This window comes from Homo sapiens, chromosome 7 (assembly GCF_000001405.40).
Source record: "Homo sapiens chromosome 7, GRCh38.p14 Primary Assembly".
Lineage (NCBI taxonomy): Eukaryota > Metazoa > Chordata > Mammalia > Primates > Hominidae > Homo > Homo sapiens.
The window spans coordinates 80,746,792-80,768,533 of NC_000007.14; the positions used below are offsets into that span (position 1 = coordinate 80,746,792).

Consider the following 21,742-nt stretch of genomic DNA (forward strand, 5'->3'; position numbering starts at 1 on the left):
CTTGGGAACCTTACTCTGGGCAGTGGGAATAAAAACTGAGTAAGTTTTATTCCATAAGTATTAGTATTATTCAATAGATATTAAAAGTGAGAATAAGTATTGAAGTGGAGGAGGGCTTTCAGTTTTCACTTTATGCTACTTAGTATGAACTATTTGCCTTTGCTCTGTGAGCTTTTATCATTTGTCTTACTTAAAAAAATGATTAATGTTTACACAGTAGTATGAGTGAGAAGCATGTTTTCTTAAAATAGAAAGGATCAGAATAAGTTTAGTAAAATATTAATAGCTTAAAAATAAGTAAAATTGTGCTCTGCTTAAATTCTGAACAAAACAGACTTTCATACTTGTGTTAGAGCTAATGTTATGCCACTATTAAATTATTACATTCTTATGTTTTTGAGATTGGAAAAAAAGTCAAAATAGTAATATTTGAGTCTCCATATTCTTGAGCATTCTGAAACAGAACTTTGGAAATATTATTAGAGAGAATAAATCCTTAACACATTCCATTTTAAATTTTACTATTAATTTATATGGCAGATATTCAAACATATGTATTTATTTTAAATCATAGATGTTATATTCACTTATATATTATTCTATTGAACTTTCTACTGAATAAAAGAAAATTACATTTTAGTTGATCCTTGTTTAAGTATTACTTACCCAATTCACATATATACATATAGGCTTTTTCTGGAAGGATTGTTCACGTCCTTGTGTTCCTGCCCTGGCCTAACAACTCACTTGTATATAGTAATCATCATCACTTATGACTTCTAATGCAGCTTGCTCTGCAAGGTAATTATTATAATCCATATCCATTCAAAATAATTGAAAATTAATTTGACTCTAGAAATGTCAAGACTTCTTTGATAACAGATTTTACAGCAAAGAAAAGAGATCTCAAATAAATAATAATTTTCATTATTAAAATCTTTCTAAAAGTATTGTTAGCATCTTAGGCTTTAGAAGAATGATGGGGCTCTGATGTCCATCTAGCTCATCTTTCCTCCAAATAATTCAGTTTCCTCCTGCAAGTAGTCATCTGCTTATGGTTTAATATTCCAGTAATGAGGGACACACAATTTCCTAAACAGCTCCTAAGATCTTTGGGTAGACAAGTCTGAGAGTCGGAGAGTATTTTTCCATATGAAACCAACATTTATTTCCGTAACACTGATGCAGTATCTGTGTTCTACAGCTTAGGGTGGTACTCAGTCTACATACCCTTAATTAACTTAATATGTAATAACCAAATTGCCCACAACAGAAGAATACACATAAATGCGGAAGGCTCCACTTCCCCCTTGGCTCCATCAACTTTATGCTGCACAAATGGTGGTACATTTTAGACTTCCCTAAGGCTTTATATATACATATATATTTTTATCTTCTCATTTGTCAGGACAACATGACATCAATATTATGAAATTAGTTATTTACAAGGTATCACCCTATGTCATTTTACAATGTCTCCCTTATTTAAAAAAACCCAGCTCTTTCTAATCCACGAAAAGTTTCAGTAAGTGTCTTTTTATTTGAAAATCTAAGGACTTTTTCCACATCACTAAATACAGACAATGCTCCCATAAACAATGATTCCATATATTACCTAACCAAAGCACAAGAGTTATGAATAATAAAACAATGGAAACAGATTACCACACAGCAGAAAAACGCTCTTTGTCATGAAGGTTATAGTTCAGTGTAATTTCTTGCTGAGGAAAACTGAACTTTTTTTTAAAAGCCTCCTTTTATCTTGTGAATCACACAAAGGTGCCGTTGTGTGAAAACTTGGCTTCTGGATTTGCACACATCTTGTTTCTTTTACGAACGTTTCCTCACATCAATACTACCGTCTTAGCACCCAAGCTCTTGTTTCAATCACCATGTTACAGAGGTGAGCAGGCAGAGAGAATTCCTAATTAATCCATCAATTCTTAAGGACAAAGGATTTTAAGGAAAGTGGCACTTGTCATCCCAAAGACGTAAAAGATGATCATATGCCTTTCCTTTTTCCTTTGATCTGAGCCTCGCTGAGGGACAGTGATTTAATGTTCTCTCTGAAGCCCTGATGGATTGCTGCTGTGCTGCTTTACTCACCTCTTTCCTCCTGTCTTTGTCTTTCTGTAACAGCCACTTGATAGATGCCTGCGGAGACTTGGGGGCACACTCCAGAAAAGTGGTGTTATTTTTTACTCCATACTGGACAATTTCAGCTGCATTTCTGTATGCTAGCAGGCAAAAATAAAAGGCGAGAGAGAAAGAAAGAACACAACTGAATTTAGAGCACATTCTCCTGTAGAAATGCTATATACATGTTTATTTTTATACAAAATTGTGAACAACTATCGCAGCCAGCAAAAAACAGTGGTAATCATTTAACAAGCAAAATAGGATACGTTGTTCACCCGTTTTGTTTGTGTAAGGGGAAGGAAAGACTGTGAATTAAGGCAATGTTGATAAGAAAATCATGTTTATTCAAGAATTATTCCACACCAACAACTGTTCTTAATATTACTTTGTTGACTTAATTATTACAATACTCCTGGCCACATTTTCTCAGCTTTTCACAGCTGAGCAAACTGAGGCTGTGAGTTATGAGGAAATACACTTTAGTGAATGTGTCAGGCAATACCGAAGCCAGGTTTATCCCATTCCTAAAGTCCATACTCAATGTTATATAGAGGAAATAGGTAAGCACTGGGAAAGGGCAGAAAGTATTGTGGCCTTGGTGGAATGTAGTGGTTGAGAACACTGTCTTTGGAATCAGAGGAACGTAGGGCAAAATCCTGACCTTACTACTACTGGCTGTGTAACCTCAGACAAGTTACTTGATGTCTCTGTGCTTTAGTTTTACTCTTCTCTAAAACATGGATTATAGCATTTTTACATAGGTTTCTCAACGAAAGTATTAAATTAGGCAAAACATGTAGTATTGCCAGGTGGTAGCTTAGACATGGACAGAATCCTCACTAATAAAGCAGGAATAATAAGACTCTAGTATGGCTTCTTGAGCATTGAGTGAAATAATCATAAAAAAGCACTTAGCTCAGGTTCTGACACAAAGTCAGCATCAATATTTGTTTGATGTTACCTCCACTGCCATTATTCTTACCACTATGACAACTACTACTATTAATGGGAACTGATACACTTTTATAAAATAGCAAATGGAGAAATGGTAACTTGAATTTATTCCCTCAACTAGATGTATGGAACAAGTAAGCAAAATCTGTCTTAATTTGCTCTTTGCAGTTAGAATAGTTAGTAAAAAGAATGCCATTTTTTACTAAAGGAAAGCACAGACTCAAAAGGATTAGAAATAGGAGTCTCACTGTTAATTTTTGAAACAGCACACCTGTAGCACCTTGACGAGCCACAAGGAAGGTCTGCTTGGAAATACTTTTACTTGGTGGGACTGAGGCAGGAAAAGTATTGTAACATGGTAACTTCATGTCAGAATGGGAAGGAAGGAATTAGTTTAATTGAGGGACATAAAGCAGGATTGTCAACAGGCACTATAGTACACCCATGTTCATAGCAGGATTCTCACTATATCCAAAAGATGGAAGCAAACCAAGTGGCCAGTGATGGATGAATGGATAAACAAAATATGGCTTACCTACATACATACGTACATATATATATATATATATATATATATATATATATATATACACACACACACACACACACACACACACATACACACACACACATTATATATATGCACACATGATAAAATACAATTCATCCTTAAACATGAAGAAAATTGTAATATATTTTACAATATAAATGGACCTTGAAGACTTTAGGCTAAGTGAAATAAGCCAGTCACAAAAGGACAAATATTGTATAATTCCACCTATATGAGGTATCTAGAGAAGTTGAATTCATAAGAATTCATAAAGAAGTAGAATGGTGGTTTCTAAGGGCTGGAGGGAAGAGGTAATGGTTAGGTGGTATTTAACGGGTCTAGTTTCAGTTGGGGAAGATGAAAAATATCCAGACGTGACTGGCAGTATGTTGCACAACAATGTAAATATGCTTAATGCCACAGAACTGTAAACTTTAAAATGGTTAAAATAGTAAATTTTATGTTATGTATATTTACTGCAGTAAAAAAATGCTGTTCTAAGGGTTCTTCAGTGGTAAATCTTAAAATGGAAAATAGGTTTTCTTCAGAAAGAAAATAGTAGCTAAGAAAATCTGTAATTACGATCTGCGAGAAAGACCTACCAGCTAACATACTTGAAGTATGCGTGTTCCCAGACATTTGTTTTACACGATTCTCAGTATACATACAAAAAGCCTTTAAGTTTTAATTACCCTATATAAATACCCAGAATTGTTATAATAAATATTTTTGAAAGTGAAACGCCTGAATCTATGACAATGTTTCCCCTTACTGAAATGTGATACGGAGCATTGCTACTGTTCACTGAGATTGGCCATTGCTCACTTTTAATACCTTTTAGATTAAATCCTCTGCATTGAGTCAGTGGGTTTCCATGTCTCACATCTTGTCTTCGGCTCCTCCTGCAAGTGCAGAAATACATAAAAGTGACTGAGAATTATCACTGCCAATTACACCACTCTTAAAACACTGTAATTTTAAACTTTGCACCCTTTTTATTGCTAAGCTTTCATAAAATTTTTTAAAAAGAGTTCTGATTGATGCAGCTATCTCACATTTCTTATACAATTTATCAATAATGAGGGGGGGTACTTATCTTTGCTTTTCAATCTGAGTAAGTTTTCCCATCTACCATTCATGATGAAATGGCTATGAATCGCCTGCTGCATGCATATCCTGAGTAAATGCTACCTTCTCTAATTAATAGTGTAAATTTTTAGTTTAGAGAAATTCAGCCTAAATTTTCTAAAACAATAACATCCAAAGTATAAACTCCGTAGCATTTTCCTTTTTATAATAGCTTGTCTTAAATAAACATACTTGTTTCTTACAAAAGTCAATGTTTTCTGTTTCTAGATATATTAAAACTTTTCTGAAACAAGCAATAGAGATAAAAATAGGGACATTTAATAAAAAGTTAATTTCATTTACTAGAATAAGCATGTTGTCCCCAACTTTTTATTTTGAAAATTTCAAGTCTACAGAAAAGTACAGATATGAGTAAAATGAATACTGGTATACCTAGATTCACAAATTGTTATATTTTGCCACATTAATTTCTTTCTCTCTCACATGCAAATATATATCATGTATATGCTGTGGATCCACACCTATGAAAGCCTTTAGAAAATAAGTTACAGATACAATAATGCTTCACCCGTAAGTGCTTTAGCATGTGTTTTTCAACGACAATATTTCAACATAACAATATAATTATCTAAATATATTGATATTTAACAACATAATCTAATGCATATTCTATATTAAAATTTCTCTAGTTGTTCCCAAAATATCTCTTATGGATTTAAGTTAACCAGCTTCCAGTCAAGTTTCATCCTTTGCATTTAGTTGTTACGTATTATTAGCTTAAGCATTTCAAAAATTTAGTTACATTGGGCCAGGTGCGGTGGCTCACGCCTGTAATCCCAGCACTTTGGGAGGCTGAGGTGGGCGGATCATGAGGTCAGGAGTTTGAAATCAGCCTGGCCAACACAGTAAAACCCCGTCTCTACTAAAAATACAAAAATTAGCTGGGCATGGTGGTGCATGGTAGCATGGTGGTCCCAGCTATTCAGGATGCTGAGGCAGGAGAATCGCTTGAACCCAGGAGGTGGAGGTTGTGGTGAGCTGAGATCACGCCACTGCACTCCAGCCTGGGTCACAGGGTGAGACTCCATCTCAAAAAAAAAAAAAAAAAAATACAATATTTGCAAACTGGTCATTATTTAAATAAGTTCTAAGTTGTATTCAAATTATTTAATTTCGTGAGTCTTAGATTCACTAAGTACCTGACTTTCAGTGGTATTATGTAGTCTAAGAAGTCGACGTAGAGCAGCTGCAATCCTCTGAGCATCACACATTGTTAAAAGTCAGAAGGTGACTCTTTAAATATTGTGAATACCAGCCTAAATCGATTGCTTACTATCAACACCGAAAAGTATACTCGAGTGAGCATATCACTTAATTGGGTTAAATGCTAAGTCTTTCTTCATACTTTTAAAGATAAAATATTCAGCAAGAACAGAAATATTAAAAGCACACAGTAGATATTAAACTTACAAAGAAAAATTAATCACAAAGTCATTGATAGTGAAAAAAAGCTCATTTTCTAGCTAAAGAAAACACTACTTCATGTACACAATGGACTGTAGAAATCTACTTATGGTAGAATAGGTATAAAATTTTGTACCACCTAAGTATTCCTTTTCCAAAGTCACGTGACCCGTACCGATTGTGTATTTCTGTACACACGAAAACAGTGAAAGTGTTAGCCACTTTCATCTCAGGAAATATGATTAATATGGTAGTGTATTCTAGAATAGCTCGCATATCAAGTTTTTACTGCATAACATTTGCTATATTTTGAAGTCCAGCATTATTTTCCTACAGCCAACTTCTGAGTATATATTATATGAGCATCATGAGAGCGTTTTCAGCCATCTAGGCAAGCAATATCATCCACAATGGCTAAATTTATTGTCCTGTGATCAACACTATGTAATGGTTTATTCATGTATACAAACTCTCAAGCTGGGCAATCTCAATTTACAGTATCACATAGCTTCTAGACATTGAAATGCAGAAAAAAACATTGTTATGGCTTGGCTTAAATCATGAGATCAGCAAGGCAGCCATCTGAGCATTTTTTATGTGTAGATTCCCTCCATGGCACTCACATAGCATCAAAAAAACATGCTGGTAGGCAGAGTAATATTGTATTGCATGTAGAACTTGGAATTTGGTTCAAGTTTCCCATGTTTCATCCACAACAGTAAATTCTTTTGGATAAACAATGAAATCATTTTTTATAGAAAAGACATTTATTTGAAAATTGGTCTGATTATCTTGTCTTAATAAAGTTTCTAACTACTTGTCTGAATCCAGAACAAATACTGTTAGAGACTATACTGCAATATTTGATACAAATCCACAAATATTTAAGAGACTTGAGAGTGAAAATGAAAAAAATGCTTTTATTGTTTACTAGAGTTTTGTTTGTTTGTTTGTTTGTTTGTTTTTTGAGACAGAGTTTCACTCTTATTGCCCAGGCTGGAGTGCAGTGGTGCAATCTCGGCTCGCTGCAATCTCCGCCTCCCAGGTTCAAGCGACTCCCCTGCCTCAGCCTCCTGAGTAGTTGGGATTACAGGCATGCGCCACCATGCCCGGCTAATTTTGTATTTTTAGTAGAGACGGGGTTTCACCATGTTGGTCAGGCTGCTCTCCAACTCCTGACCTCAGGCAATCCGCCTGCCTCGGCCTCGCAAAGTGCTGGGATTACAGGTGTGGGCCACTGCGCCCGGCATGTTTACTATAGTTTTTTTTAAAAACGGAGACTATTGAGCCAATGATATTTACCAACTTCATTATGTCAAAGTATGGATTCCACCAATTTCCAAGTATAACTGTATTTCTCTGTTTGTACACAAAGAAAATAGTTTTTTGCTTTTTATTTCTATGAAATCCTCTAAGTGATCTTCGTGTTTTGCTTAGAGAGTGGCATCAGCACAAAACTAGGTAAATTAACACTACTAAAGAAAATAAATGTGGAAAAGTACTCCAAATCCATTATCTTCAAAGGAAAATGAAAAACTCATATGGGAATTTACAAAATAGTTAATTCATTCACTAACATGTTTTGTATTTACTATAAATACTTGCTTAACTAAGTTAGGACATAATTTGGAGAATGTAAATACCGTAGATATTTTTAGTGAAACTTCCAATATGCTAGTCAAAGATAAATACGGGTAGGCTCAGGCATATTTTTTATATATGTAGCATTTTCAGGCTTTTCATGACAGAATTAAGGCACTGCTGGAGATAATCAAGATAGCTGTTTGTTGTTGTTGTTGTTGTTGTTTTAGACAGAGTCTCACTCTGTCTCCCAGGCTAGAGTGCAATGGCGCGATCTCAGCTCACTGCAATCTCCGCCACAAGGGTTCAAATGATTCTCCTGCCTCAGCCTCCCAAGTATCTGGGATTACAGATGCCTGCCACCATGCCTGGCGAATTGTTTTTTTTTGTTTTTTTTTTTTTTGTATTTTTAGTAGAGATGGGGTTTTGCCATGTTGGCTAGGCTGGTCTTAAACTCCTGACCTCAAGTGATCTGCCTGCTTCGGCCTCCCAAAGTGCTGGGACTACAGGCATAAGCCACTGCACCTAGCCAAGATAACTCTTTAAATAGCTACTACTTTCCTTCTCTATCCATTATTCATAGTTTAATATCAGGCATGATATTGTAAATGCAAAGAACTGCATGATAGACTCATTTCTTTGTTTATTAAAAAAGTATGATTAAAATTATAATTTGTGGTGGTAGAATGACAATGTATATTTAAGCACACATCTTAGAAAGGATACCTGGGGTTGTAATAGGTGGGAAAACATGCAAACAAATGAGCTAGCCCATATTGAGCATAAACTTCTAAAATGTAAAAAAGTATATCTAGTATGCAATGACAGTCTATATACAGTATGGACTTTTACTTGAGAAATATTATTTGTTATACAAAAATGCTTGTTGGTCAAAACAAGTCTTTGCTGAGAAGGAGTACTGATGTCCAGTTTCCTTACATTATATAATAACTGGTATACCTATACAACTATGGTAAAAGTCCATTTATAGTCCCTATATCCCTTTCTTCCTTGGAAGGTATAGTGCTTCAGCTTCCTTCAGTACTATATCTGCTTAATAGATTGAAGATTATATTGCAGGTGTTAGAGAGGCAAATTTTTAGAACATCTTGCTAAGTAAATAGTATCACCTTACTAAGAGCTATGCTAATCTAATATCACTACTATCATATTTGGCAGTGAAAAACAAATATGGTTGAAAAATACCAACAGTGGCCACAAAAATCACTTATGTGAGATTACATTTGAAATTTGCCTCCCTCACACTGTCCAGGTTTAGGCCTCCAGCCCCATATTAAGATGAAAGATCACAGAGTAATGATGTCTAGAAATTCTAGATAGACATCAAAAGAAGTCAGGGACCTCCTCACTAGCGCCCAAATTAACATGGAGGAACACAGTCTTGGAACGCATCTACGAGACTCCTGGTTTAAAGAGTGGGAGTTCTCTTCCTATCTCATGCCATTAAGACTCTCAAGTGATCCAGCCCAGGCCACTCCTCTCTACTCCAGATTCATATTTCTAACTGCCTACTCAATATCCGTGTGTGAACATCTTATAGATACCATTCATGTAACATCCTCTTTTTCCTCACAAACCTGCTCCTTTCACAGTCTCTTCTTTCTCAGGAAGTGACATCTACATAAATCCTAATGTTCAGTTCTGACAACTTGGATCATTTTTGACTCCTCTATTTCTCTAACCTCCCACATCCAAATATATCAATAGATTCTGTGAGCTGTCAAGCATCAGACCATTTTTTTTTTGCCACCTCTTCCTTTATTATCCCTCTACAAGCCACCATTATATCTCACCTAGACGAAGACAGTAGCCTCCTGTCATGCAGCTTCTGCCACCCCTTCCCTTCTGCCTCCAACCTCTTCCTACCCCAGGGCTTCAATGCAAGCCAAATCCAACCAGTTATCTTTTGAAACCAAAGCCAAACAGTATCATTCACATGGTCACAGCTCCTCAGCTGTTTTCCATTTCACTTTAAATAAAAACTTTTCAATTACTTACAAAGTCTGACATCATGTGGCATTCTGACCTCATTTCTTCCTATCGTTCCTTTTCTCATTTCAGGGCAGCCTCACTAGCTTTAGGGCTGTTTCTTGAGCAATCCTGACATACTCCAGTATTAGAGATTTCTGGTCCCTCTTCCTGGAATGTTATTCTGCTAGATAACGTCTTGGTGCCATTCCACATGAAGTCCTTGCTCACACAGTATGTCCGCAGTAACGCCCTTTCTGACACCCACCCATTTAACATCACGACCTCCTGCTTACCACTTATTGTACCTACCTTCTCTGCCCTTTTTAAATTCACAGATCGTGTTATTATTTGATATACCAGAGGTTTTCCTTATTTATTTATTATCGATCTTTTCTCTTTAGAATGCATTATCCCTGAAGACAGAGATTTTTGTCTTTTTTCCTGTTATATGCCTAGCTTCTAAAACAATGCCTGGAAAATATATTTCCAGTGAAAATATTTGTTGAACTAATGAATAAGAGGATCAGAATACTTTTAATACACAAAAGCTCTAGGGTTGTTACAATCTGTCAAGGTCCTCAAAGGAATGTAGAGAATAAAAACCATAAAGCACCATCACCCCAGTGCTTTACTTGAAAGATCATTGGTGCTCATGGCTGCTACTATTTGCTCCCTCTGCTAACCCTAATTTTCAAAGGTTTTAGCCTTGTCACCATCATGACCTATGTCACTGTATGACTGAAAATACCTATGACCTTGGTTGACTCTGAATTCTGCATATTCCTTTTCAATTTCTCTACTCATGGTTCCTTCCAACTTGGTACAAGTCGATGCAGTTTCCCACCTAGAATTCTACTTGGATAAAAAGTACCCTGCCTCAGACTGACTTTCTTTCTTAACCTAACCAGTAATCATGCACTCACCACTCCAAGGATAAAGCATGGTCATCAAGGTTTTGAAAGCAAATCAAGGTATCCATGCTGAAATAATACTCCTGTAGCTTGAACTAGAACCAGCATTATAAGATAATTATATTGTATCCTTGTTTACAAGATAATTAAGCAATGTAGAGAAATCCTAGGAAGGTGGGTTTTAAGGCTACACTAAAGCATATAAAATAAAAAAGACGGCCGGGAGCGGTGGCTCACGCCTGTAATCCCAGCACTTTGGGAGGCCAAGGCAGGTGGATCACGAGGTCAGGAGTTCAAGGCCAGCCTGGCCAAGATGGTGAAACCCCATCTACTAAAAATACAAAAATGAGCTGGGCATAGTGGTGGGCACCTGTAATCCCAGCTACTCGGGAGGCTGAGGCAGAGGATTGCTTGAACCCAGGAGGCAGAGGTTGCAGTGAGCCAAGATCGCACCATTGCACTCCAGCCTGGGTGACAGAGCGAGACTTCATCTCAAAAATAAATAAATAATAAATAAAATTAAAAAGATATAAATTAGGTGATACAAAAAATGCAAAAAGCTAAATGCTACTTGAAATATTTGATGAGTCCTAGGGGAGTAGGTGTTACAGAGGAGCTTTGAAGGGAGAAAGGACTCTTTCCAAAGTACTGTACTCTGGATTTACCATATCTGTGAGAATCTCAAGTTATAACACATTACCATTTTCTTCATTCAAAGACTATGTGTGGTGTTAAACATAGCTTCTACCTTTAATGTCATTTAAGGAAACAGCAATAGAACTAATTCTAAAGATGTGAAACACTTCTGTATTGTCTGGTGTCCTACATTTGGATGTTGAGCCGAGTGTTTAGTGCTCACCGTTTCCCAGTTGGGTAGAATCTGGAACAGGAATGGCCATCCCAGGCGCAATAAGGGTCCCGCGCCAGGCAGCAGTCAGCACAGGCTGTACCATAGATGTGGCAGCGGTGCAGAGATACCTGGGAAACCCCTTCATTGGAACTCACATACAACTGTTGCTATTAAAGGAATGATGATGATTTATTTCAGATGTGGAAGTTAAAAGAAGACTTTCAGCAGGAACACATTATAATATATGCCCACAAACCCTTGGATTCATTTTGGAACCGATTAAAAACATGAAGCAAAGCACAGAAGGGTATGAAGCCAAAATAAATAGAATTTTCCTACATTAATATGCCTATAGCATTACCACTTTTCTGTTAAAAAAGAAAAGCTCAAAGCACCATATAGAATGGTAATGTGTTTTAGACATTGGGATTCATTGTTCTCTCAGATTGGAGCTAACATATTACAGATTTAAGTTATGACTTTTTTTCTTTGAATGCTGTATCTTAGCAAAGCACAAGGAAGCATTCTTATTTTTCAAGTGGGGCAACACGTTACTTTGTAAATTTGAGAAAGTCTGGTTTAAAATAAAGGGCATTTTAAGTTTAGAAGGAAAAAATGGTAAATAGTAAGTACTGGATGAAATAAAAAAGAATATTTTGGTCACATGCCTTTGAAAGTTGCATGTTACTCATTAAAACTACTTAAAAATAATTATTTAGAATAATATCGGTATTTATATTTAAACGTCTTAAAATTCTGCTTGATCCACTGATCTTCATCATCCTAAAAACCTCATGGATGAAGATTTCATCCTCCTTCAATTGTAGGATGTCTACTGCTTCCAAGATAATGGTTTGATTCCTTTAGCTGTGCATAATATGGTTCTCAGGAGCTGAAGGAATGAGTCTCTAATTGATACTCCTTACTTTCCAAAGGACTGATATAACTCAAGTTAGCACAGAATCTGTAAGCTGAAACCTGATGCAGTTGTATGGGTGTGTGTGTACTCCTCCATGTACAGATACACACACATGCACATACATATACATTTAAAAATTAAATCTCTGGAGACACCATGGGCCCGCCAGGCTCTGAAACTCTGGAACCAGACTTCCTAGATTCAAATCTCAGCTCACCTACAAATTTGCTGTGTAACTTTTCTGAATCACAGCCTCCTCACTAGTAAAATTAGGATAACACAGCACTTACCATATGGAGTTTTTGTAAGAAATAAATGTTGTAAGGTTTTCCTCCACATAAAATGCTTGGAATAGTTTCTGGCTCACAAGTTGCTCAATGAATGTTAATTAATGGTAAAAAGTACAGTAAAATACCAGTTAAACTAGCAATACATGTTTTCAATTCTAATCAATTATTTGAATCACATCTCACTCTACTACATCTAATAATTTTATTCACATCAATTGACTTTTCAGAAATTGTGCTGAAATTGACTGATCTCCAGTTGAAACATTCAAACTACAAGAAAACAACTGCGTGTTTTCACAATAACCATTTGTCCAGGCACATTTGAAATAAATGTTTATCGAGTAAATTAGTAAATAATACAGCAAATTTATCAGCTTCATTAAAATACTTTAAGGATACTAGTATATTTGAGTGTAGGACACAGGTAGTTTCATTCTAGATAGTATACTTTTTATTAAGCGTACTATTTTCTGTTACATGGAGTAAAAGAACAAATTAAAAAATAAGAGAGCATAAGATGGATAATAAAATGGGAAACACTGAGAAAGTTATTTAAATACACATAAGATGTCATTAACAATTTGTAGTCCTCTCGCACTGAAAAAAATGATGCAGTATGCAGTTGTACAAATGATTTCCAAAAAGTCAAATAATTATCCTTGCCTTGAATCTCACTGTTTTAATGAGACATTTTAAATTATCTACAATTTAAGACGTTGAAGACAGATGTAATACATAACTAAATATAGTTAAAACTTGCATACAGGATTACTATGCCACACAAATGGCTTTGTGTCCATTTTGAATCCTGCCCTGCTACTTTCTCTTTCCATTAACTACTGTAAACAAAGGGCTTCCCTGCTGACTTCAAAGACAATCCTGACTTGAGATCCACTCCCTAGGACATTAGACAAAATGACGAATGGCTTCTCGTTACTTGGGAAAATGTTTGTTATGCACCATACAAACATTTTTACAGATGAGATCGTTAGCTCCATTGTACCTTATTTATTTTCCCTCATAAAATTCAGTGATGTCAAAAGAGTGTAAGACTGACTATAAAATACCACTTCATCTGTAACAAACCAAATATGGTGAAGAGCTCCAGAATCATGTAATCGGTTGTGCTAACACATAAAACCTTTACTGTGTATTCCAAGAAAAATAGGTCTCAGGCTTTTACAGACAGCATTTACTGAGGATCCACTTTATTCTAGGTAATTTATATAAATTAACTTGTTTGTGAGAAGAGCATTACCTTACAAATGTAGAAACTCAGGTCAGTGAAGTTACATGATTTGTTTGTACATTATGGTCAGATTGGGATGCAAATGCATGCCAAGCCTATTTGGAAGCCTACTCCATTCTCACTATATTACTCTGTACCTTAAAATTTGTTTTTTAAATAATACCTTTTGGAAATGGAGAGGTACATGGTTTGCTCATGTATATATTGGAATTGTACTTTTTATTTCAATGATCATTGTATATTTACATGTGTAGGGACAAATCAGACAATTAATTTGAGGATTTCAATTACAATCAAATATTTCTTTTCCAATTCCTGAACCCTTAAATTTGAGACTTTTCTTTTTTTTGACATGTTTAAATCCTAGGAAATAATATTTCCTTAAAAATAAGCATAAAAGAATACACTGTGCATTTCAAATATGTGACAACAGCAGGAACTCAGGATTGATTACTCATTCCAAGCCTCTAACAATGTTGTGATGTTATAGAGTAGCCCAAACTTTATGCTAAATTCTTCCCAGAAAGATTATTTTTATTTCGGTTGGCTTCACACACCGTAATATTTGAGAAAATCAGATATACAAAATGTTGGAATATCTTGCTGTATATATGTTCTGCTCCGACAAACTTTTATACAAAAATAAACCTATTCGGTCTTTCACTAATACCTTGTAAGTTCTACATCAAAATTAAAGGTGACTTTGCGGTATACTTTAAGTAGTACTCTTTATTTTGTTAGTACGATAACTAATTATTCAGAAGTTATAAAATATAATTTTTCATAACAACAAAACATTTCAATAAGCAAAGAACATAAAATAGCTTAGTTTTTACCTTTTTAGATGAAATTTTCATTGTTGTTATAGGAGCATGATTCTAAAATATTAGAAAACAACATGTTAGTTGCTCAAATATTGCTTAAAAGGATTTTACATTCAGATTTTTTTTCTATTAAATCTCAAGAAGAAATCACTTTTCTTTATATATACATCTACTTTAAAATTACTTGTTATATAAAATACATTTGCATATACTTGTCTATAAAGTACACTTCCTCTTTAGAAACTAAGGATAGAGTTGTTACACAGATATATACCTAAAATTTGAGACCAGCCTCGCCAACATGGTGAAACCCCAGCTCTACTAAAAATACAAAAATTAGCCGGGCATGGTGGTGGGCACCTGTAATCCCAGCTACTCAGGAGGCTGAGGCAGGAGAATTGCTTGAACCTGGGAGGCGAAGGTTGTAGTGAGCCGAGATTGCACCATTGCACTCCAGCCTGGGCAACAAGAGCAAAACTCCGTCTCAATAAAAAAAAAAAAAAAAAAAAAAGAGTGGTAATTAAAACACATGTATCAATATAGGCATTAGAACAAAAAATGAAAATCTGAGAAGGAAATTTTTGGAATATTCAATCCGACAAATAATTCAGAATTGGATCCACGGACTCAGGTGGAGAAAGATGTGGAATGGTACACCATCTAATTCCTCCGCAACACAAGCACTCTGCATAAGACACTATTGTTCACCTGCCAGTGCTGTTTCGGAAAGACAATATATTAGGCTGAACCATACTAGTTAATACTCATTGTTGCAAACAAAAAAATATTGTTAGAAAAGGTTCTCTTTTGATAAAATGTGAATGAATGAAAGAACCTAAGAATTTTCTGGAATAGTACTATGCTTGCAAATTATTCATAACTTCACTTCTTAAAAATTATTAGTTACTTTTAATGATTAAAAATTAGACTTCTGGTGGGGTGCAGTGGCTCACGCCTGTAATCCCAGCACTTTGGGAGGCTGAGGCGGGCGGATCACCCTGAGGTCAGGAGTTCGAGACCAGCCTGGCCAAAATAGTGAAACCCTGTCTCTACTACAAAATTAGCTGAGTATGGTGGCGCATGCCTGTAATCCCAGCTACTCAGAAGGATAAGGCAGGAGAATTGCTTGAACCCAGGAGGCAGAGGTTGCAGTGAGCCAAGACTGTGCCACGGCACTCCAGCCTGGGTAACAAGAGTGAAACCCATTTCAAAAAATAATAATAATAATTAGACTTCTGGTAAAGTGATTAAGATTCATGAGCTTTATTTGAATAACTCAAGTGGCAACAAGCTCTCAAAATCAAATGTACCCCCGTTATTTTGTTTTCTGGAGCTGCATGTATTTACCAACATTTTAAAAGGGAAAACAGTGATATCTTTAATTCTCCATTGTGACAATTTTTGATCATCCCTTATAAATATGTACACACACATGCACACACACATACAAATGCTGCAACCTATAATCAGTTAGGCAGCTACTAGTAGTTATACTTCTAATTCTAGTTAAACTCAGCGGAACTAGACTTATTGTCAGAAAATGTGGAACAGAGGACTAAAAGAAGAGATTATGGTCCTGCACTGTATAAAAACAAAGCTCCTGGTTTTTCAAAGTCACATTGAATTTTCTGCAGTACATCAGTGTGACACTTAGCTAAGAAAACTTTTCAATTTAAATGCATTATTTCCTCACATGCTCATGACAGTGTATCATACACACCCAATTATTTTTACCTCACCTCAGAAATGTGACACAAACACCATGCTGAAGACAGTAACTGTATTCAGTAACTGTGTTTCCTGACTTGGCCATATCAATCACTGGCACACACATCAGTAAGAAAACTCAGACTTTTTTTGGTGTCTCATGGGCTGATGTCCCCCACGTGCATTCTGACTGACTCTGTTTTTCCACTGAGAGTTTATTATTCAAGATGATAACACCAGCATAACTCATATGACAGACCATAAGTAGTTAGCATGTGATCAGACTAACTCATGTTTCTTTCCATAACATGTATGTTTAGGTTTATGTCATGCTCACTTAATTAACATTTCCTGATAATCAAAAGGAGATATTTCAGTATTAAAAATGAAGTGCTGCTATATGACATTTTTGCTATCTTCAAGAATACTCCAGAATAAGGCACTTCGTATTATTTTAGCAAGCCAAGTTCTCCCTACTGAGTTGAATGAGAAAAAAAATATGTTCTATATAATGTGATTCTGGTTAATCTAGTGAAATAATCAATTTCTTTATAAAACAAGGCATGAAAAAGCACTTGTCTGAATATCATTGACGTCATTTTATGAGCCCGATTTTAACACACCAATCACAAAGAACCTGTGCCAAAGTTAGTCTAGCATTAAAAATTACAAATTTAATAATATAGTAGGAAACTTGCCAGAGTTCCTCAAATTTATTTGATTCTATTTTATATTTCTTTACATTTAAAATGTATTACCTAAATCTAACAGCACTGCACCCTACCCACTTACGTGCTTATAAAGTCAGTATTTTTGGTGACCGTGGGAATGTCTACTAATGAGTCAATACATTCTAAGTCTACTCAACTAAGCAAAGCAACTTGCTGGACTAGCAAGAGTCTGCTACTGGGAGTTCTCAAGTGCTACTTTTACTCAGTCATAGGCTGACTCTGGTCTTTTGTTGTGTCTGGGCCATTGTTTCTTAATTGGTTTAGTTGGAAATAGTGTTCTGCAGCAGGACTGATTCCATGCCAAACTTTCTTTGCAATTCTAATAGCTCCTCTGCTGCGCTTTACCCATCTTTCCAAATGCAGATAAAAAGCACCACTTGAACTACAGTGACTGACACTGTGAGTAGAGAAGGGCACAGCAGGACACCACAAATCCCCTCTCCTGGCTCACAGATACATAAAGAACATGCACTCTGCCCTGACCAGGTGAGATCTTACAGTACTGAACTTCCCTTGTGTATGTTTTTTTTTCTGTCCTTTTTTTCTTTTTTTATCCCAAATTCAAGGACAAGGAGAATAATACAATGAAATCTCAAGTTCTGAGTGGTAAAGAGACAACATTTGTTTTATTTAACTGAAGTGACATTTGAATTAAAGGCAATAAAATAAGAGAAAACAAAGTCGTTTTTCTTGAAATTACTGGCTAAAAAAATATAAGAAAGCTTATCTAACAATCAATAATGTGAAAGTATTTGGGTTTCAGTGGCTTGTGAAGCAAATGATAAAAGCCCTTTCATGGCAAAATCTTCCAGACCTTGACAACTAGAACTCATTTTTTAAAAATAATGATGACCACAATTCTTCAAGTTGTGATGATAGCTTAAAAACAGAAAGAATCCTTTTATCTTAAGATAACTTGAAATGTAGGAAAATACTTTGCAAAAATATTTGTTCTGTATTTCTTATTTTATCTGGTGTTTTCCTACCCTCAAAAATTCATAACATTCATTTATTTGATCTTTTATCAAATATAGTTTCCTCCCAAGTGGCTGTAAGATTAAAGAATTCCACTCATCATGCATGTTCTGAGATTAATAGAAGAGATGTTCAAACCTTAAAGACTTCCAGCTCCTCCAGAATGAGCTCGCCACTGACAGAGTTGTTAGTAGGAAGAACAACCACTTTTTGCACAGTACCCCGATCTAAATTAAAAAAAGAAGAAATGAGATGTTACAATACTTTTTAAAAGAAAGCTATTTAGACATAGGACTACTGACTTGGACCATTATTTACATAAGTATTTAGTAATCAAAAAACATTGTATGTATTAAGCCACTGCCATGTGCTGAATGTATTCCAAATCTCATAAAAATTGAAACACATACAATTCAAGGGGAACTAATATGAATATCTTATATTTTGCACATATTGGGTGTAGCTACAACTATGAGAGAAGGAAAGAATGTTAAGTCAAAAGTTCGGAACCAAATGTGTATTCTTATAATACAATACATAAGTTTTTTTTGTTTTGTTTTGTTTTGTTTTGTTTGTTTGAGACAGTGTCTTGCTCTCTTGCCCAGGCTGGAGTGCAGTGGCGTGATCTTGGGTCACTGCAACCTCCACCTTCCGGGTTCAAGCGATTGTTCTGCTGCAGCCTCCCGGGTATCTGGGATTACAGGTGCCCGCCACCACGCCTGGCTAATTTTTTGTATTTTTAGTAGAGACGGGGGTTTCACCATGTTAGCCAGGATGGTCTCAATCTCCTGATCTCATGATGCGCCCACCTTGGCCTCCCAAAGTGCTGGTATTACAGGCGTGGTGAGCCAATGTAACCAGCCAATACATAAGTTTAAGTTTGATCATTAATATTACTTTCTCCTCCACACCAACATTATAAAGTGACAATCTCATTTTGTTAACATTAAAACAATGATTTCATTATCTGAAGAAAGATGACTGCAAATGAATTTTTATAATAACTGTATAAGTCACTAGGATTGGAAAATTCACATTTGGTCTGTAACTGTGATGGACTTTCGACATGGTGAAATGTTTCACTCACCATTCAAAATCATCTTCAAAAAAGAAACACAACTGATTTTATTTCAGGTGTGGACACCTATTCATAGAAAAGTTCTACTATTTACACAATTTTATTTGTCAGTTTGTTACAGTACATAGCTAGTCAGACATGAATAGGTGAGCAGAGTCCCCCACCCCCAACCAGTAATGTCAGGCGACCAACAGGTGATGGTCAGGCAGTTATCACATGTCATGTCTCTCTAAAATAATAACTGGTTGCAGCTGGTGCTGAGGCAGGAAAACAGGGTATGGAGGCAGGGAACATAAAGCCGATTCAAACTTCAGCTATGACAGGAAATATCCTCTCCGCAGGCATACGCCGGGTAAATGACTTTGTAACTTTACTTCATCTTCTTCCTTTACATAGGGTGTACCCCAAATAGAGGGTATTTAAACTCCAAAAAATTCTGTAACGGGGCCTTTGAGACCCTATGCTCAGGCCTGCTCCCACAATGTGGAGTGTACTTTCATTTTCAATAAAACCCTTCATTCCTTCCTTGCTTTGTTTGTGTGTTTTGTCCAATTCTTTCCTCAAGACGCCAAGAACCGGACACCCTCCACCGTTAACAGTGCCAGGGAAACACAGTCTCCCAGTAGATGGAAACACCTGAAACTGGTGATCAGCAGCTTCCCAGTAAGATCTCAGGAGCTGAGTGAGTGAGCTCAAGCATGTCCATTAACAGGCAAAATGGGAGAGTTTTACTGGTATATGACCTTCCTTTAGGAATGCTAGACTGGTAAGGGAAAAACGCCTCAAGTGAGCATGGGCACAACTCCAGTAAACACACTGCGCATGCTCTCCTCCCACGTGCTGGCAGGCCACCATGCCTGCGGACAGCTCACCCCAAGGCAGGAATCAGGGGAGAAGGAGTCCAAGACCCCAGAAGTATGAGAACCTGTAACACCCTAAGTCAAAGGTCAAAACTGCAAACTTGATCTCTCAAGTCGCACAACTGTATTTTTCTTCCTTCCATTCCTGCTCTAAAGCTTTTTAATAAGCTTTTACTCCTGCTCTAAAACTTGCGTTGGTCTCTCACTCCGCCTTAGGCCCCTTGGTCAAGTTCCTTATTCTGAGGAGGCAGGAACTTAGGTTGCTGCAGACCCATACAAATTTGCTGCCAGTAACAAGTTGGCAATATGTTTCTTTGGATATCTCAAAATGTAGAGGAAATTTTGAAATTAGATGATCCAAATAAGCTGAATCAAATCAGAAATTTACTCATATGTCCCAATTACAGATAGCCAAAAATTGAGATGCCAAAATAAATATAAGAATACAGGAAATAATATTTATGTCAAGATTTATAAATGGTTTCACAAGTCATGTAAACATTATGCATATAATCATGCCACTCTACCAATCACATAAATTTTAGGTTTAAAAGACACTAGTTTAGATTTAGCAATGTGGGGGTTAAAGCAAATTTGTGAGTAATCTGGCAAAGTAAAAATATATTTACTTAAAATGTTTTTATTAACTAGTGAGTTGGATCATAAATATCAAGTTATTCTTCTTTTAAATTATAACTAAATTTATAATTTGTAAATATGCATTATCATCAACATAATGCACATTTTTAAATTCTACTGAAAATGTCATAAGAAGAATTAACTTGAACTGAATTGTACAGGACTTTACAACCAGAAATCATTTAGTGAGTAATACTATAAATTTCAAATCTCACATCTCAAGTTGGCTTCTATTCCACAGGCACGAGTTACTCTGACATAAAAGATTTTATCTCATGTTTATAGTTTGTGTTTTATGAATCCAACTGAAAGAGTCAAAGTAATTCTTAATAAAAAATAAACTCAACTTTAAAACACAGCAAACTGAAAAATAAAAATCCACTAAATTAAAAATAATGTTTATACAAAAGAGCAAGACAGAGTTTGCCAGAATAATGCCTGAAATTTGTAAGGATACAAAGTATAAGCACATAATCTTAGAAGTTGCAAAGCATACTCTGTAATTTAAAATTCACTTCTTAAGCCACACTCAAAAAAAGTGAAAATAATAATCATCCCAAAGATTTGCAGGCTCTAGTTTTAATTAAAAGGCTCTGAAATATCTGCTTTGCAGCCGCTTCCTTAGAATTACCTCTGATAGCCGGGCGTGGTGGCTCACGCCTGTAATCCCAGCACTTTGGGAGGCCGAGGTGGGCGGATCACGAGGTCAGGAGATCGAGACCATCCTGGCTAACACAGTGAAACCCCGTCTCTACTAAAAAATACAAAAAATTAGCCAGGCGTGCTGGCAGGCGCCTGTAGTCCTAGCTACGCGGGAGGCTGAGGCAGGAGAATGGTGTGAACCTGGGAGGCGGAGCTTGCAGTGAGCCAAGATCGCGCCACTGCACTCCAGCCTGGGCGACAGAGCGAGACTCCGTCTAAAAAAAAAAAAAAAAGAATT

General features: G+C 36.1%; 1 protein-coding gene across 3 annotated transcripts in view, besides 2 other annotated features; it reads right to left on the minus strand.

Annotated features, from left to right (window-relative positions):
* SEMA3C (semaphorin 3C) overlaps window positions 1-21,742 on the minus strand; it is a 179,852-nt gene that overhangs the window by 4,254 nt on the left and 153,856 nt on the right. For all 3 annotated transcript variants that reach the window (NM_001350120.2, NM_006379.5, NM_001350121.2), the window contains 5 exons: window positions 18,364-18,452; window positions 14,825-14,866; window positions 11,540-11,697; window positions 4,478-4,545; window positions 2,107-2,237 (listed from right to left, as the gene is read on the minus strand). In NM_001350120.2, the coding sequence (NP_001337049.1) occupies window positions 2,107-2,237; window positions 4,478-4,545; window positions 11,540-11,697; window positions 14,825-14,866; window positions 18,364-18,452 (488 nt within the window). The remainder of the gene's footprint in view (window positions 1-2,106; window positions 2,238-4,477; window positions 4,546-11,539; window positions 11,698-14,824; window positions 14,867-18,363; window positions 18,453-21,742) is intronic.
* Window positions 6,833-7,002: an enhancer, noted in NCBI's record as "experimental_100118 CRE fragment used in MPRA reporter constructs". NCBI's record gives its function as "activates a minimal promoter by MPRAs in K562 erythroleukemia cells, with activity observed for the non-introgressed 7:80383025 variant allele {active_cell/tissue: K562}" and the evidence as "EXISTENCE:reporter gene assay evidence [ECO:0000049][PMID:34662402]".
* Window positions 17,228-17,964: an enhancer, noted in NCBI's record as "OCT4-NANOG hESC enhancer chr7:80393335-80394071 (GRCh37/hg19 assembly coordinates)". NCBI's record gives its function as "activates a minimal SCP1, AML or CMV promoter by ChIP-STARR-seq in naive H9 embryonic stem cells {active_cell/tissue: H9 hESC(naive)}" and the evidence as "EXISTENCE:reporter gene assay evidence [ECO:0000049][PMID:30033119]".